This window comes from Homo sapiens, chromosome 7, assembly GCF_000001405.40.
Source record: "Homo sapiens chromosome 7, GRCh38.p14 Primary Assembly".
Classification (NCBI taxonomy): domain Eukaryota; kingdom Metazoa; phylum Chordata; class Mammalia; order Primates; family Hominidae; genus Homo; species Homo sapiens.
In genome coordinates, this window is record NC_000007.14 from 65,191,790 (window position 1) to 65,209,325 (window position 17,536).

Genomic DNA, 17,536 nt, shown 5'->3' on the forward strand with positions numbered 1-17,536 from the left:
TTCATTTGCAGAAAACAAAAGAGGCTTTTAACTAATTTAAGCAGAAAGAAATTTATTACAGAATGTTACATGGCTCACAGAGTTGTTGGGAAGGCTAAAGAAACAGACTAGGTGGAATATCCAGGAATGATTTCCAGAGCCACACAATGAGTGGGCCACCAAGGAGGCTGATGTTCCTGCTATTATCAGGAAAGCTGCCTATTGAGTCAGGATGCTACCAATAAAGCTGCTGGCTCCAGAACCGTGTCTTGCATTCTGCCTTTCTTCCGACTTAACATTGTTCCCTATACAAAACTCATGCGAATGTGTTTGATTGACTGATAATAAATCACGTCTGGAACCTAGCTCAAGGGAATCTGAGAAATGCAGTTTTTAACTTTGCAGCTTATGTAGTCCAGGAAGATACAGTAGATGAAGATAGGAATACCACGTGTGAGTGAGCCAAATCCAGTATATGCCGTAAGTACCAACTGCTGTTAGCTCCAGTTTACTCACCTGGGGGACTTGGTGACTTGCTGGGTGCAGGGGTGGGAGTGAGGAACTGAGAGATAAATGGGTGGTCTGATACTCTAGTAATCCACTAAAAAGTTGAGGGTGTCCTGGGCTCCCCTGGGAGTGCCGTGGGCTTGGGCTGGACAGGTCGTGGGGAGAATGCTGGGTAGGTGGGTGCAGCTGCAGCCACAGGGGAGCCAGAGTGTGCAGCATGTGTCCAGCGTGAGCCTCCCGAGCTTCCACCTGGGTCACATAGTCTTTGTGCCCCTGGGAAGCCTCTAGAAGCCACACAGAGGCCCATAGCAACTCTCATGCCCTGGAGTGTCTCACCAGCCACTCCAGTGATGGGCCCTCCAGTGGCTCTGGGACCCAAACAGGGATGATTCACAAAGTCCCTACCGAGCACAGGCCTTCACAGTTCAACAAGAAAATCCTACTGTTGACTGGATTTTTAAAAATCAGTGGAGGAGGCCGGGCGCGGTGGCTCACGCCTGTAATCCCAGCACTTTGGGAGGCCGAGGCGGGTGGATCATGAGGTCAGGAGATCGAGACCATCCTGGCTAACAAGGTGAAACCCCGTCTCTACTAAAAATACAAAAAATTAGCCGGGCGCGGTGGCGGGCGCCTGTAGTCCCAGCTACTCGGGAGGCTGAGGCAGGAGAATGGCGTGAACCCGGGAAGCGGAGCTTGCAGTGAGCCGAGATTGCGCCACTGCAGTCCGCAGTCTGGCCTGGGCGACAGAGCGAGACTCCGTCTCAAAAAAAAAAAAAAAAAAAATCAGTGGAGGAGATCACACTAGAAATGATAGATACTGCAAGAAACAAAGCTTGAGTGAAAGCTTGTTACCGTAATGAATGGACTCACACATATCACTGCTTTGCAGTGATAGCATCAGCCAAAAGGGCTGCGAACATGAATCATTAACAAGTTGAAATATGTCAAAGATGGCTGTGTGGTGTGAAGAAGCTGCATCAGCTGCACAGGCTAAGCCTAAATGATATTCCAAATGGCAGAGTGTCCACCTGAATACCATCACTGTAATCAGTAACAATAAAAGATAGGGAAAACTGAATTATTTTTAAGGTTGAAATGATTTTAGCATGACAGTTTGTTCTCTTGCCACCGTACATTGAATCATATACTTGATGTTTATTGTGTGCCTGTGATGTGCCAGTAACAGTACTCTCAACTAGGAGTCACCAAACTACAGCCTGTGGACCAAAGCTGGCCTGTTGCCTGCTTTTGTATGTAAGATCTGATTGAAGCACAGCCACGCTCATTTGTTTAGGTATTGTCTATAGTTGCTTTCATGCTACAATCACAGAGCTGAGTAGTTGCCACAGAGACCATAAAGTTACTATTTTACCTTTTACAGAAAAAATTTGCTGACCCTGCTGTAAGTTCTGGGCAGTCCACAGCTCTGTAAGCGGAGATTCCAGTCCTTTCTATATCTCTTGTGGAGCGATTTCTCTTCTCCCTCAACAAAGTGTTTAGTTTTGGAGGCCACTGAATGAGGTTGTTGGCCCTGAGCCCAGTAAAATAAAGTCTACTTCCTGACTCATCCCCACGTAAATAAACATTTAGATTTTGTCCTTGACAGTTTTATCCTGTTGGCACTAAAGCAAGTGCAAAAGGCACAAAAGCTAGCCAATTTGGTGATCAGCTGCAGTGCTGGCTCTTAGAAGGTACTCGCCTTCATGGTCTGGGTTTCCTGAGATGATAGTCTTGCTAGGCAGTGGCCGGCCAGATCACTGTCCTAAGTTCGGGGCTCTGTGTTTCTAGCTTGAGTGTGTATTCAGGAGCACAGGCAGAATGGTGAAAAATCTGGAAAGGGAAGCAGATGGACCATAGCAGTGCGGGCACCTGCGACGCTTTACAACCATCATTGCAGACATGAAGTAATTTGCTAAGAAGAGGCAGAACGAGGATTTGAGTTCAGCTTTGTCAACTCTAAAATCCATATTCTGTGATGTGCAGTGATTTACAGGGGATTCCTGTATCACATGAGATTAGATCAGTTGACCCCTGGGGTTCTCCACAACTTACACTTTCTGAGTTGTTATGGAGTGAAATGTTAGCCTTTCATACAGAAGGTTCTCTGATGAGGACTGGAGCCATGTATTTGTTAGTATGAGTGTAAAACAAATTTCACTGTCATACACAGTGCCCTGTTTTGTAATCCAAACAGCCATTTAACCCAATGAAGAGCTCACCTATGAGCCAGATGCTGTGGCTTGCACCTGTAGAATTGTTGTGAAGATGATTGTAATGATATGTGGTAAAAGCATTTTGAGAATATCAGTTACATAGATAATAGTTGGACATTTATGGCTGTTTGCTTTAAAATTTAAACTAACTGGCCGGGCGCGGTGGCTCACGCCTGTAATCCCAGCACTTTGGGAGGCCGAGGTGGGCGGATCACGAACTCAGGAGATGGAGACCATCCTGGCTAACACGATGAAACCCTGTCTCTACTAAAAATACAAAAAATTAGCCAGGCGTGGTGGCGGGCGCCTGTGGTCCCAGCTACTCGGGAGGCTGAGGCAGGAGAATGGTGCGAACCTGGGAGGCAGAGCTTGTGGTGAGCAGAGATCACACCACTGCACTGCAGCCTGGGCGACAGAGCGAGACTCCATCTCAAAAAAAAAAAAAAAAAAATTTAAACTAACTATGGTTTATTTAACATACTGGACATGCTCTTGACATTTTGTAACTAAATCAAATTTTATAAATGTAATCATGTTTAAACTCACTAGCAGGGTTGAAGGGGATTGTCTTTTAAGGAATGCTGCAGTCATTTGTCTGCTATTTCTCAGTATGAATAGTGACCTCCTGTTTTTCAAAGTTTACATTTTTGTGTTAAGTCCATGAAAGTGCTGTTGCTATACACACTGTTGTTTCAGGAACCATATCACCTTAGAAGTGTTCCATAATAGAGAATTGTTCTTTTGGAGTAAAATAGCTCATTATAACCTGAAACAGAAGGGGCTTCATTTATCAGAGATAGAAAGAAATGTACTACTTTTCTTATGGGAATTCTTTTACACACTAACCATTGAAGAACATGGGATTTTTTAGTTGAATTCTTTAAAATCCTCTTTTTGCTTTGAAACTTTTATTGTCTTTAGGGAGAGTGCCTATTGTGTAGTATTGGAACTGGTCTAGTAATTAAAGAGTAGAAATACACGTTTGTAATCTGTCATCATCTAGGTGCAGGAATAAAGATGGCGTTTTAGAAGTCACCAAGACTTTGTATTTATTTTGTATTTCCTAACATTCCTTTTTGCTCTACTAAGCTACTAAGAGACATAATTATAAATTTGATTTTTAGAGATTCTAAGAGATTGAAAAAAATAAACTGCATTTGATTTGCACATCCAGAATCTTTTTGACTATCTTTAATAGTGATTTAAATAATTAATTCAGCCTATTGTGTAAGCTTAAAAAGAATCACTCTATGTAAATGTGTTTACACATAGTGGCATAGTGGCATCATATAGATTGCTAATGTGTGTGTTCCTGGGAGGAACTGTTTTGCTCTGCCTGATAGCATCTAAAGAAAAGTGGCCCAGTGTATCCAGTTGTTGTTTTTTTTTTTGGAGATGGAGTCTCCCTCTGTCGTTCAGGCTGGAGTGCAGTGGTGCGATCTCGGTTCACGGCAACCTCTGCCTCCGAGGTTCAAGCAATTCTCCTGCCCCAGCATCCCGAATAGCTGGGACTACAGGCGCGCTCCACCAGGCCTGGCTAATTTTTTGTATTTTAGTAGAGATGGGGTTTCACTGTGTTGCCCAGGCTGGTCTCGAACTCCTGAGCTCAGGCAATCCACCCACCTTGGCCTCCTAAAGTGCTAGGATTACAGGTGTGAGCCACCGCGCCTAGCCGTATCTAGTTTTAAATTAGTTTTGGTCTCATCTGTGTTTGATGTAATTAATAAATAAATGAAAAGAGTTTAATAGCAAATAAATAAATGAGATGCAATATGATATGGTTAAAAAAATACTTTTGGAGTCAGAGCTGACTCTGTCTAGTTCATGTCGTTTTGTTGTTTATTCTGTGACCTTAGGCAAGCCACTTAAATTCTGATCTTTAGTTTCCTGTTCAGTGAAATAGGATTAATTGCAATTCATATTGTGAGGATTAAGTGAGCTCAAGTAAGGAAACAGCTAGCACAGTACAGTGCACATAGAATGTGCTCAGTGTACCTTTCTCATTAGAGCCCGTAGTCTCCTGATGGATGTCTAGACTGAGGCTTCCTAAGAATTGTGAGCATAAAGTGACAAAGAGAGGAAACACTGGGACACAGGATTTTTCCCAGAGCTAACAAGTTTCCATTTTTGTTTGTACAGAAGTTCAGATTTCTTATGGCTAATTGTGTTGGATTGGGTTACATCTTGTTCTGTGCACTTCAGAACAACTGCTACAATTCTGGGGCAGGGGAATAAAATAACATTTGGAATCAGTTAGTTAATGTACAGTCAGTTGGTCTGTATTCTGTATAATTGTCGTAGAAGGCAGAATCTTCCTGGAGAGGAAACACAAATGCTTCTGAAGTAGAATACTTCAGGGCTGTCTCTTACAAGAGAAAAATCAGAGAAGTGAAAGGAAGAGACCATCTGGCCACCAAACTCATACTTCACAGTTGGGCTTAGCTAGTCTATGGTCTTGGCTTTCATTGTGCTGGGTTCCCATGCTTTGGGTAGGCCCTCCAGGACCAGTTCAAGCAACCCAAATGAATAAGAAGTGATATATATCATACATTAATTCTTCAATCACTTTGAGAGTAATTTACTCTTTGCCCCTTTGTAGGCATCTCCTTCTTGATGTCAAAGTCCCCAGGAGGCATCGTTAACTATCATAACGTTACCCACCAAGCATGAGATGGGAGGAAGTGGCATAGTCCAGTGGACAGTTTTTTCCAGGCTACTGTGAAACCTGATGTGTTATGCCGGCTCTGAAACAGACAGCTTCCCAAGTGACTCAGACCTTAAGGTTTCCCACAGTTTCCATTTCTATTCAGAATTTAATGTTGCTATTAAAAAGTAATGAGGCAGCTTTCTATGAATGCTGAGATGGTTAGGTAATACACAAACACACACACACTCACATTCCTCCCCTAAAAAAGAAGAAAGCAAAGAAAACCAGTACTTTTTGTAAATGCATGGCATATCTCAAAATTCAAAAGAAACTGGTAATAGTAGTTGCCTCTGGGAAGGTATACAGGGTGGCAGGGCTACAGGGCACAGGCGTAGGAAGGGGGACTAATTTAATTTAATTTAATTGTATATCCTTTGAATGCTATACCTTAAGTATGTATTAACTATTCAAAAAAACTAAATTTTTTTTTAAAGAACATCTGTTCTTTAAAGTCATAGAACATTTTCATCACTCCAAGAAGTTCCTTCTTGCCCCTTTGCAAAGTTGTTTGGCTTTTCCAAGCCTCTGTGAAACCCCAGGAATTCAAGGAGGCCATGGAGAAGAATCCACTTTTCTATAGTAGCAAAATATGGTGAGGAAAGAGAAGTGATTACTCCTAAAAAGAACACATAATTGTTGGTTATTCAATGACAAGGAGTGACAGTGTAGGTAAGGGGCCCAGAGCCAGAACCCAAGGCAAGTGTGTTTAATAACAGGAAAAAAGCTAAATAACTTTTGGTACAGCTACCTAGCAGTATATTCTGCAGTCATTAATTCTTTATGAAGAATTATACAACAACATGACAAAATACTTAGGGTGTAATGTTATGTACCGAAAAGAAGGGGAGCCAATCATAATCCCAAAAGATAGTCCAGAACATCATAGTCCTAAACTGTTTAAATTCCAAAAGACTAAAATCCCTAAAGTCTAAAATCCGAAAACCACAGCCCAGAAAATATCAAAATCCCCAAAATATAATTATGGAAGAAATAGTTTTAAAAACTTAAAGATATTTATTTTTTAAAGGGGAACTTATTTGAGAAACATAAAAACACAACAGAATACTTTATACACCACTTAATATAATAAAACAGACAATAATAACATACATTTTTGCAAGCATAAACACTCAGGTTACTAATAACATTTGGGTGGGTCTAACAGTTATGAGCAGATGAGCCATATTTATAAAGAAATTGGTCATAAAGGGAAAGGTATAAATGCATATCCCTTTGGTTGTTAATTGTGTATACCCAGCTTTTTAACTCTGGTCATCTGAAATACTGTGCCCAACAACCTCAAGTCTTTTGATGAGATTGATGGAAACTGTGCTGGGTCACCACTGCATATGCAGTCACCCAAAGAGCTGAGATCTCAAGAAATTTTATCTTTCACAAATGCAGATGTACGAAAAGGATATCTCATTTATCGAGGAAGTTTCAACATTTTATGTACACACTCAATGCTTATACACAAAGTCAGTATTGTGATAATGCACTTTCATGGAGTCAGATTTCTGATATCCAAGCAGCAGAACCCAGAGAGTCCGTTTTGCTATTTTGCGTTTTTTTTTTTTTTTTTTTTTTTTGAGACAGAGTCTCAGCTTATCACCCAGGCTGAATACAGTGGCTTGATCTTGGCTCACTGCTGCGACCTCTGCCTCTTGGGTTCAAGCAATTCTCCTGTCTCAGCCTCCCAAGTAGCTGGGATTACAGGTGTGCACCACCACGCCTGGCTAATTTTTGTATTTTTAGCAGAGACAGGGTTTTGCCATGTTGGTCAGGCTGGTCTCGAACCCCTGACCTCAGGTCATCCACCCACCTCGACCTTCCAAAGTGCTAGGATTACAGGCATGAGCCACCGATCCCAGCCCATTTTGTCTTAAGTATTTGTTCTCTCCTGGCCACTGGCTGATTGGATGGTGCCCGCCAACATTGAGGGCAGATAGTCTCCACCTAGTACACTCAGATTTATACACTAATCTCTTCGGAAACACTCTCATAGACACACCCTCAATGTGTAAAACAAAATAATGTTTTACCAGGTTTCTGATATTCCTTAATCTGGTCAAGCTGATACCTAAAATTAGGTCCACAAGTCCACCCCTTGTCAGCTTGGCACTCATACGCATCTCCTTAAGCCATATTTAATTTCCAAATAAAGACAATAACATGGTAATAGTTGTGCCTAACATGATACAACTGACATGATGCAACTATCCTGCATGCAAGCCAAAACACACTAATCACTTCCCCAGAATTTGGATGTCAGGATTTCAACATTTGTGATTGTATGTTTTGGGATTATGATCTAATCCCCAAACTTAATTCTGCTTTCTGACTACAACTGTCAAAAAACATGCATAGAAGAAATGATTAGAAGTAAATATTCCAGAAATTCCTATAGTTTATCTGTAGTTGAGACCTACCACTGTTTGATAGCCACCAGATACATGGGACTCTTGAGCACTTGAAAAGTTGTTAGTCCAAACTGAGATGTGTTATTAAGTGCAAAATACACACTGGATTTCTCAGACTTAGTATGAAAAGAAAATGTAAACTATCTAATTAATAATTTAAAAAATACTGCGTGGTGAAATGTTAATATCTTGGATATACTGGGTTAAATAAACTTTTTTAAAAAATTAGTCTTTGTATCTTCAAAATTAACTTACATCTTTGTAATTTAAAAACTGTGGCTATGAGAATATTTAAAATTATATATAGCTCATGTTATATTTCTATTGGACAGTGTTAGTCTAGGTTTTCTGTAATGTCATTTGATTACATCTGTAATTCAGAAGGACTGAGAAAATAAGAGGCTGTCACAGAAGTTTGTGCAAGAGATGAGGTCATGTGGATGGATAGGTGAGGAGAGAGATGGAAGGTAAAATCGTGGCTCTTAGTGGTGGTTTTGAATGTAGAAGATTGAAAGAGGGAGAAATCTAGGAAAGCTGCTTGATTTCTAGTTGAATATGTTGGTAAAGTGGTTGGGGCTTATAACATAATGAGCATAGGGGAAAAGAAAAAAGAACCACAGTCAAGGAAGAAGTATCTAGGTGGCTTGGGTTAGTCCAGTGGCTCTGGGAACAAGGAGTGCCTAGAGCCCAGAAGGAAGCTGGCTTGCCTGCGCATTCTGGTGAAGGTTTCATGGTTCCTGTCCTCTGCTTCCAGAAGCACTGATCTGGGACACAGAGCCTTTGGGCCAAGAATTGGATCAAATGGATGGGAATTCATTTAGCCCAAACCATTAGTCTCATCTTTCTCCATAATAGATACAGCTTATTGGGTTAAAAGAATAAGATTAATTGAGAAGTCCTGTTCATGGTAGACTTTCAAAGGAAAACAAAAATGTAAATTCCAAATGATATGCCAGTCTTTGTGACGTCGGTATTCTGTTCCCTCCTGATTTGTCTGTGTAGGCCTTGCAGGAAAAGTCGTGGAATGTAGCTGCCCCTTCGTATTTGAAGCAGAGTGATTTGGCCTCAGCAGCAGCGAAACAGGTAAGCTTATTCAGACCTTCCCTTCAAACAGGTCTCTGTCCAGGAATTGTCTGGTCCAAGGCGGAGCCAGAGGCCTTCCTGTAGCTCTGTACCTCTGCTGTGGCCTCCCTAATTTTAGGCTATGACAGAAGTTAGTGATATGAGAAGGAGCATAACTAGGGGACGCAGCACTCACTGTGGACTCAGGGGACCTGGGTCCTAGTCCCAGGTCTTCCTCTGATTTGCTGAGTGATATTGAGCAAGTTACTTAAATTCCCTAGATTTTTTCTCTTCTATAAAATGTGGCAGTTGGGCCAGGTGCGGTGGCTCACACCTGTAATCCCAGCACTTTGGGAGGCTGAGATGGGCGCATCACTTAAGGTTAGGAGTTTGAGACCAGCCTGGCCAACATGGTGAAACGCTGTCGCTACTGTCATGAATCTTTCATCTGAAAATGTAGCCCAACTCAGTTAAGGTTGTTTATATCTTTAGCCTGTACCATCTCTTCAACGTTAAAAGGTCCTGGGTAGTTCATTAAGTAGGCTTTAATTTTATTTGTCTCTAGTTTATTTCTTTTTAGCTTTGAGCCGTTCCCCTTTGCACCTAAGTATTGAGACTTGGTGATCTCTTGCAGGTCAAGTCTTCCAAATAGGAAGTCTGTAAATGACCCAGGAGAAAGCTAATGATGGTGACTGTTATTGTTACATTACAGTTCACTAAATGATTTCAAGTCTATTAGCTTAATTAACCCTCATAATAATCCCATTAGATAGGAATAAGTATTAAGTCTATTTTAGAGATGAGGCAGTTAAGGCTCAGCAAGGTTAAATTCATAGAGCTATAGGTAATACAGTCAGGACTTGAGACCAGATCCTCTGATACCCAGAATCTGTTTTCTACTACAGTGCTGAACTCTTATCTGATCCAGACTCTTTCTCAGACCTGGTATGTGGCTTATTGTAGAAGAGTAGCATTTAATGACTAGAACCCGATAATTGAGCCACATTGGAAGGATGGGACCAGGGAGCAATAATTTGGAAGGAAAAGAGGAAAGGAATTACCATTGCTGTATACCAGATACTGTGATAAACACATTGCATGCTCCATTTGATACTTGAAACTTCATGATATTGGTACTGTTTCTTCCCTGTTTACAGAAAGGGATTGAGACAGTCATGTAATTTAACTTGTCTTATTGCCAATTGTAAGAGAGTCTGGAGTCGTTTCCGTGACCCTAGAGTGTTCACTGGGAGGCAAGCACAGAAGAAAAAGAGAAGCATCATTTTGATGAAAATCGCTTATTTGGATGGAACCAAGCAAGATCGGGGACTTGATCTGGGGTCATAGACAATGTTTTCTTGCACTTATTTCCGTCCCAAACTCCCTCAGACCAGGCCCATGGAACAGTCTGTCAGGATAACTAACATATGGTTAATAGTTCCTGATGCTTAATTCTTGAGGACTTTGTGGGGATTGGGTTTCCATACATAATATATATTAATTTGTTCCCACAGCAGAGTGGGCTTCATTTAGGGTAAGAAGCAGTGCTTTCAGTGCTTTGCAGTTTGCTTAGTGATTAAACTTTCTTATCTTCACATCATCAACTAAGATGATTTTATTACCAGGTCAGTCTTCTTTTTAAATAGGCAAAATAATTTATTCTCTTTTTACAAGGCATACTATACTAATTTCTTTCCACACTTAAAAGCATAGGGATGTAAAATCTCAGTTAAGAGTTTCACCTAAGGTCATTTAACAGTAGAATTCTATGCTGCTCTCAAGTAAGACTATGATATTTTTATTGATTGTTAATTATCTTTTCTTTATCGATTATGGAAGAGACCTACAAAATGGAATTCATGTAGAGTGGTGTGGAGAATAAGCAGGTGGTGATTATACATCACATGAGGCTGCAGGCCAAAGCTTTGCAACTTATAATAACAGCACGAACTACACGAGGGTAAGATGTGGGGTTGGCCAAAATATGTGGCATGTTCCTTTCAAAGATACTTCGAATGCATTCAGACATCACACGAAAGTTAATGATAAGTAAAATGAAATTTAGGAAAGACTAGCTAAGGAATGTGTGATCTATTCATTTTTTTCAGATATTACAAATTCTGTTGTTGGATCAGATTAGACCCTTGGAAATCCAATTGTGCGTCTCCCTTGCTGAAAACCCTCTGGTGACTCTCCATTACATATAGCACAACACTGGACTTTATCTGGCAATAAGGACATTCTGTATCCTCCTACTTGATAGATTTCCTCAAGAATTTAGTGCCAGGGACCACTTTTTCTGTTCTGAAGGGACTAATAAGCTTTTTCTCAGGCAATAAGGATAAATTAAGAGGATGTACTGGGAAGTCAGACTACTTTGTTCAAATCTTGTCTTTTCTACTTACTAGTTGTTTGGTTATGAACCTTTCTGTACCTTGTTTCCCTGTACAAAATGAAAATGAAGACAGCATCTACCTCATGGCATTTCTATGAAGAATAAATGAGATAATACAATATAAAAACACTTAGCATGGTACTTGATACGTAATAAGAGCTCAGTATAATTATAGCTGTAAGACTTTCAGATAACTGGAATTGCCACATTTCATTGATTCCAAGATACACATTTTTTATTATTGTAACTTCTCTGAAATCAGATATTTTGATGGTGTTCCATAGTGTTTTTTGTTTCTTACTATTTCATAAAATAAAGGTGCATCTTAAGAATGATGGCATCATAGATTTGATACAAAAAAGTACTTAGGTGACTCATTGCCAGCTCACAGACATGTTTGATGCTCAGTCCAGCTGCTGTGTCAAAAAAAAGTGGCATAGAGATATAAATATGAATGTTTAAACACAGAAACATACTAGGTCAGAAATAACATCCTGAAAAATAAAATATTTTATTTCTTCACTTATCTTGATAGTGACCTCATAAAGTCAAAGAATCATTTAATCGTAAAGATATTCATATGTGGCCGGGTGCGGTGGCTCACACCTGTAATCCCAGCACTTTGGGAGGCCAAGGTGGGCAGATCACGAGGTCAGGAGATCAAGAGCATCCTAGCTAACATGGTGAAACCCTGTCTCTACTAAAAATACATAAAATTAGCTGGGCGTGGTGGCATGCACCAGTAGTCCCAGCTACTCGGGAGGCTGAGGCAGGAGAATCTCTAGAACCCGGGAGATGGAGGTTGCAGTGAGCCGAAATCACATCACTGCACTCCAGCCTGGGCAACAGAGCAAGACTCCATCTTTATAAAAAAAAAAAAAAGATATTCATATATTCATTTAACAAATGTTTAATCCCTACTATGTGCCAGTTATAGCTGAAAAAACAAAAGTGCTTGTGATGGCATCTATACTGTTTTTTAAAAAAGATTTTTTTTAGTTTATATATAATTGTTACAAAAATTAAAATATTACAGGGTAAGTGAAGGTTCTCTGGTAATTTACCACTTCGAAAACAGCTGCCAACATTTCATGTGTATACTTCCAGATTTTCCCAAACCGTATAAACATAGGTTATAAAGATGTGTACAATAACATAAAGGGGATCATACCATACTTTGCTGTTCTGCCTCCTATTCCTTTCACCCAACATTATAATATGCTTATCTTGTCGTGTCATTATATAAAGATACTAATGTTTTTAGGTCTTTATTCATGCTATAATATTTTATATTTTTCTTTTTTTTTTTCTTTTAGACAAAGTCTCGCTCTGTCGCCCAGGCTGGAGTGCAGTGGTCCAATCTCAGCTCACTGTAACCTCTGCCTCCTGGGTTCAAGCGATTCTCCTGCCTCAGCCTCCCAAGTAGCTGGGATTACAGGCATGCAACACCATGCCCGGCTAATTTTGTATTTTCAGTAGAGACGGGTTTCACCATGTTAGCCAGGCTGGTCTCGAACTTCTGAACTCAGGTGATCCACCCGACTCGGCCTCCCAAAGTGCTGGGATTACAGGCGTGAGCCACCGAGCCCAGCCTATATTTTTCATTTGTATGCGTTCCTGTTTTTTTCTTTTTTTTCTTTCTTAAGTTTTGCTAGATTGTTTTCTTTTGTCCTCCAGGGGTTTGAAAGTTATGCACCGTAATTCTAAACACTTCAAGTGAGAGGCAGTAGAACATACTGGTTAAGAGGGCTGTGGTGCCACACTGCTTGGGTTCACATCTTGACTTTACCATTTGCAAACTGAGTAACCCTTGGACAAGTTACTTAACACTTCTTGGCCTCAGTTTGTTCCCATAAGTTAAACTGAGATAATAGTAGTACCTGTCTCTTCCTCACAGGGGTATTGTAAGGGTTATTGAATTATTATATGCAAAACCATTTATTTATTTTATTTATTTATGAGACAGAGTCTTGCTCTATCACCCAGGCTGGAGTGCAGTGGCACGATCTCAACTCACTGCAACCTCTCGTTCCCGGTCCAAGCAACTCTCATGCCTCAGCCTCCCAAGTAGCTGGGACTACAGGCCCATGTCACCACACTCAGCTAATTTTTTTATTTTTAGGAGAGATGGGGTTTCACCATGTTGGCCATGCTGGTCTCAAACTCCTGGCCTCAAGTGATCCACCTGCCTCGGCCTCCCAAAGTGCTGGGATTCCAGGCGTGAGCTACTGTGCCTGGCTGGATTATTATATGCAAAGCCTTTAAAATAGTGTCTGTCACATCCATTATAAATACTTGATACATGTTAACTAATATTAGTTTTAGTAATACTGTTATTACTTATATTTTTAATGAACATATTGAACTTATATTTATCAGCATAAAAAGTTAAACAGAATTTATGGTCACCTCTCTAAGATCAAGGTGATCTAAGAGATCAAGATGATCTAAGATGAAGATGAAGATTTTAGTATGCTTTTGTTTGTCTCTTACTGCTTAAGTAATTTGGGCCAGTTGGCTGGGTGCAGTGGCTCACGCCTGTAATCCCATCACTTTGGGAGGCCAAGACAGGTGGATCACGAGGTCAGGAGTTCAAGACCAGCCTGGCCAAGATGGTGAAACCCCATCTCTACTAAAAATACAAAAAATTAGCCCGGCGTGGTGGTGGGCGTCTGTAATCCCAGCTACTCGGGAGGCTGAGGCAGAAAACTGCTTGAACCCAGGAGGCGGAGGTTGCAGTGAGCCGAAATCGTGCCACTGCACTCCAGCCTGGGTGACAGAGTGAGACTCCATCTCAAATAATAATAATAATAATAATAATAATAATAATAATAATAATTCAGGCCAGTTAAGGTCTCTTACTGAGCAAAAAATAATAATAGCAATTTGGGCTAGATGCAGTGGCTCATGCCTGTAATCCCAGACTTTAGGAGGCGAAAGCAGGAGGATCGCTTGAGCCCAGCCAGGAGTTTGACCCCAGCCTAAGCAACATAGTGAGACCCTGTCTCTAAAAAATAAAAATCAAAAATTAGCTGGACATGGGTGGTGTGCACCTGTGGTCCTAGTTACTTGGGAGGCTGAGGTGGGAGGATCCCTTGAGCCCAGGAGTTCGAGGCTGCAATGAGCTATGATCATGCCATTGCACTCCAACTTGGGCAACAGAACAAGACCCTATGTCTTAAAAATAATAATATGGCTGGGTGCGGTGGCTAACGCCTGTAACCCCAGCACTTTGGGAGGCTGAATCGGGTGGATCACGAGGTCAGGAGATCGAGACCATCCTGGCTAACATGGTGAAACCCCGGCTCTACTAAAAATAAAAAAAAAATTAGCCGGGCGTGGTGGCAGGTGCCTGTAATCCCAGCTATTCGGGAGGCTGAGGCAGGAGAATGGCATGAACCCAGGAGGTGAAGCTCGCAGTGAGCTGAGATCCCACCACTGCACTCCAGCCTGGGTGACAGAGTGAGACTCCGTCTCAAAAAAATAATAATAATAATAATTAATAACTTGGAGGTTTGTTTCAGCTGATTATGTTTTTATAATGTAGCTTATATTAATTTTTATGTTTATAAATATAATCTTTTAAAGTTATAAGTACATAATCCTTGTATATCCTTGTTTATTTTTATTTTTAATTTTTTTATAAAATATTTTTTATTTTTAAAAATAGTAGAAACATGGTTTCACTGTGTTGCCCAGACCAGTCTTGAACTCCTGAACTCAAAGTATCCTCCCACCTCGGCCTCCCAAAGTGCTAGGATTACAGACGTGAGCCACCACTTATAATCTTTATAAGTTTAGCTCCAACTTTGCCACCACTGTTCTCTGTCACCTTTTAAATTCCTTTGCTCTCATACATAAATGGAATTCTTTTCCAATATTTCCATATTGCTATGGTGCCTTTATTTATTTATTTTATTGGGCAACCCCCGCCAAACCAGAATAGGTTCATAGAGACTCTCTGCCTTTGCTATGTTCCCTTTTAGTATTTAATGTTACAGTTGAATGTTTTATGTCAGTCTGGTTCTCTTCCCTACAGCTTATTTTTCATGCTCAAACCTTTAAAATTTTCTTTCTTTCTTTAATTTCACCAGGATATATCTAGGTATGTGTTTTCTTTCAATATTCTTGCTGACCTTCGGTGGGAGTTTGAAGTATCAGCTGTTTTTAGCTCGGGGATTTTTTTTTTCTCCATTATTTCTTTACTTCTTCTATACACTCTAGTCTGTCATACTAAATGTTGGATTTTCTGGATCTATTTTTCCTATACCTTTTCTTTTGTAATTTCAATTTCTTTGTTTTTCTATTCTATATTCTGAGTAAATTCTTTTTTTTTTTTTTTTTTTTTTTTTTTTTTTTTTTTTTTTTGAGATGGAGTTTTGCTGTTGATGCCCAGGCTGGAGTGTAATGGCACAATCTCAACAATCTCAGCTCCCTGCAACCTCCACCTCCCTGGTTCAAGCGATTCTCCTGCCTCAGCCTCCCAAGTAGCTGGGATTACAGGCATGTGCCACTGCACCCGGCTAATTTTGTATTTTTGTAGAGACAGGGTTTCTCCATGTTTGGTCAGGCTGGTCTTGAACTTCTGATCTCGGGTGATCCGCCTGCCTCAGCCTCCCAAAGTGTTGGAATTACAAGCATGAGCCACTGTGCCTGGCCAGTAAATTCTTTAATATGCTCTTTTTAGTTTATCATTTCAGTTTACATTGTTGTTGATTCCACTGTTCTTAACTGTTGAGTTTGATTTCATTATTATGTGTTTTATTTCCAAGTGTGCTTCTCTACTATTTTTTTCCTTTTTTTTCTGCTGTATAGTTTCTCTTCTTGTCATCTGCTGTTTCTGTAGCAGTTTCTCTTGCTTTGTCAATGTAATATCCTTTTAAATCCCTGTTAACTCTCACTGAGGTTGTTGATTAGAATTTTTTAAAAAGTTTTCTGTGCTTTCTTGCCTTGACTTAACTCTTTTTGAGGACTGCTTGGTCTCCTTTACAGCTCCTGATTGTCATTTATAACACCTAGTCATTTTCCATTGTCTTTGCCTACTTACAGTGAAAGTCTAGACTAGTTTAAATTGGTAATTTGTATTCTTTAATGATTGTTAGCCCCCGAGTGAGCCTCACTTTCATAGCTTTCCTTCCCTCACACCAAAGGAAAAGTAGGAGATCTTAGTATTAGAGGCCTACTTCATGTATATGGCCTGTTGATGAGGATGCCTGCTCTTTTTTGACATCTGGGGAGAGTTCCCAAATCTTTTTGTATTTTACTTCCTGGAGTCTCTCCAAGATGATTCTCTATATAATCAGGCAAACAAATGAGGAAATGTCACTGCTTGGCCAAATTGCTTTCCTTTGTGCCCTTGCTTGGCTGGAATTCTCCCTTCTAGCCCTCTCACTCCTTGTGGTGTTTGGTGGGTAACCTCACTATGAAATTTCACTTCCATTTCTGGTAGAAGATTAGTTTAAAAACTTTCAAGTGCTACTTTTTTTTGTTGTTTTTTTTTTTCAGGAAAAGAATTAGAATGAATGTTGCTTCCAGAGTAGGTTTCCATTTGCCATCTACCCCCGGCCCCATTTTTTGTTCATTCAGCAAATACTTATTGAATGCTGCCTGTGCTAGGAAATATATGATGAAGAATACAAAGTCTACTCGTGGAGACTATATTTTAATAAAAAGACGAAACTTTGACATCATTCTCTTACATATTTTTACATAAGGAAAGAGTATTTGTTTTATCTTGGTGGGAAATTTTATTCCTCCAATGAATAATATATTAAAGAAAACAAGTGGGAAATTTCATGCAGAAATTACATACAAGAAATAGGAAGAAAATATACAAAGGTCAAAACTTAGTAAGTCACATTGACCTAGCATGTTGCCTGGATTATTTAGGTATGCAATAACTTTTTACTGAAATGGAATGTTCTCAAGTACTGTGAGGCCAAGTAATTCAAGATAGAGAGGAAGGAACACCATCCATGTCTGTCGGCAAAATAGTAGCAAAACCTTTTCCCCTCTTGCATAGGAATTTAGTTAACTTTTTAGGTATGTTTCTTGGAGCCCTTACAGTATCAACTACATTAGTAGGCTATACCGCTATGGAAAAAATGATCTCTGAGTAAATTGCATGTAGACCAGAAGGAAATATAAATGAACTAGTTTCCAGATGCCGATACAATGGCTGTAGGCTTCATTGAGTGCAGTGATTCTTGAAACTGGGTAGATCTTGCAGCAGTCCACACAGCTATCTGGGAGC

At 40.2% G+C, this 17,536-nt stretch overlaps 1 pseudogene across 2 annotated transcripts in view; it reads left to right on the top strand.

The window, feature by feature from the left end:
* INTS4P1 (integrator complex subunit 4 pseudogene 1) overlaps positions 1-17,536 on the top strand; it is a 93,193-nt pseudogene that overhangs the window by 50,760 nt on the left and 24,897 nt on the right. Inside the window, exons 11-12 of one of the 2 annotated variants that reach the window (NR_146906.1) lie at positions 8,829-8,909; positions 10,728-10,848. The product of NR_146906.1 is annotated as an integrator complex subunit 4 pseudogene 1, transcript variant 2 (transcript). The remainder of the gene's footprint in view (positions 1-8,828; positions 8,910-10,727; positions 10,849-17,536) is intronic. The other variant, NR_146905.1, reaches the window with a different exon arrangement.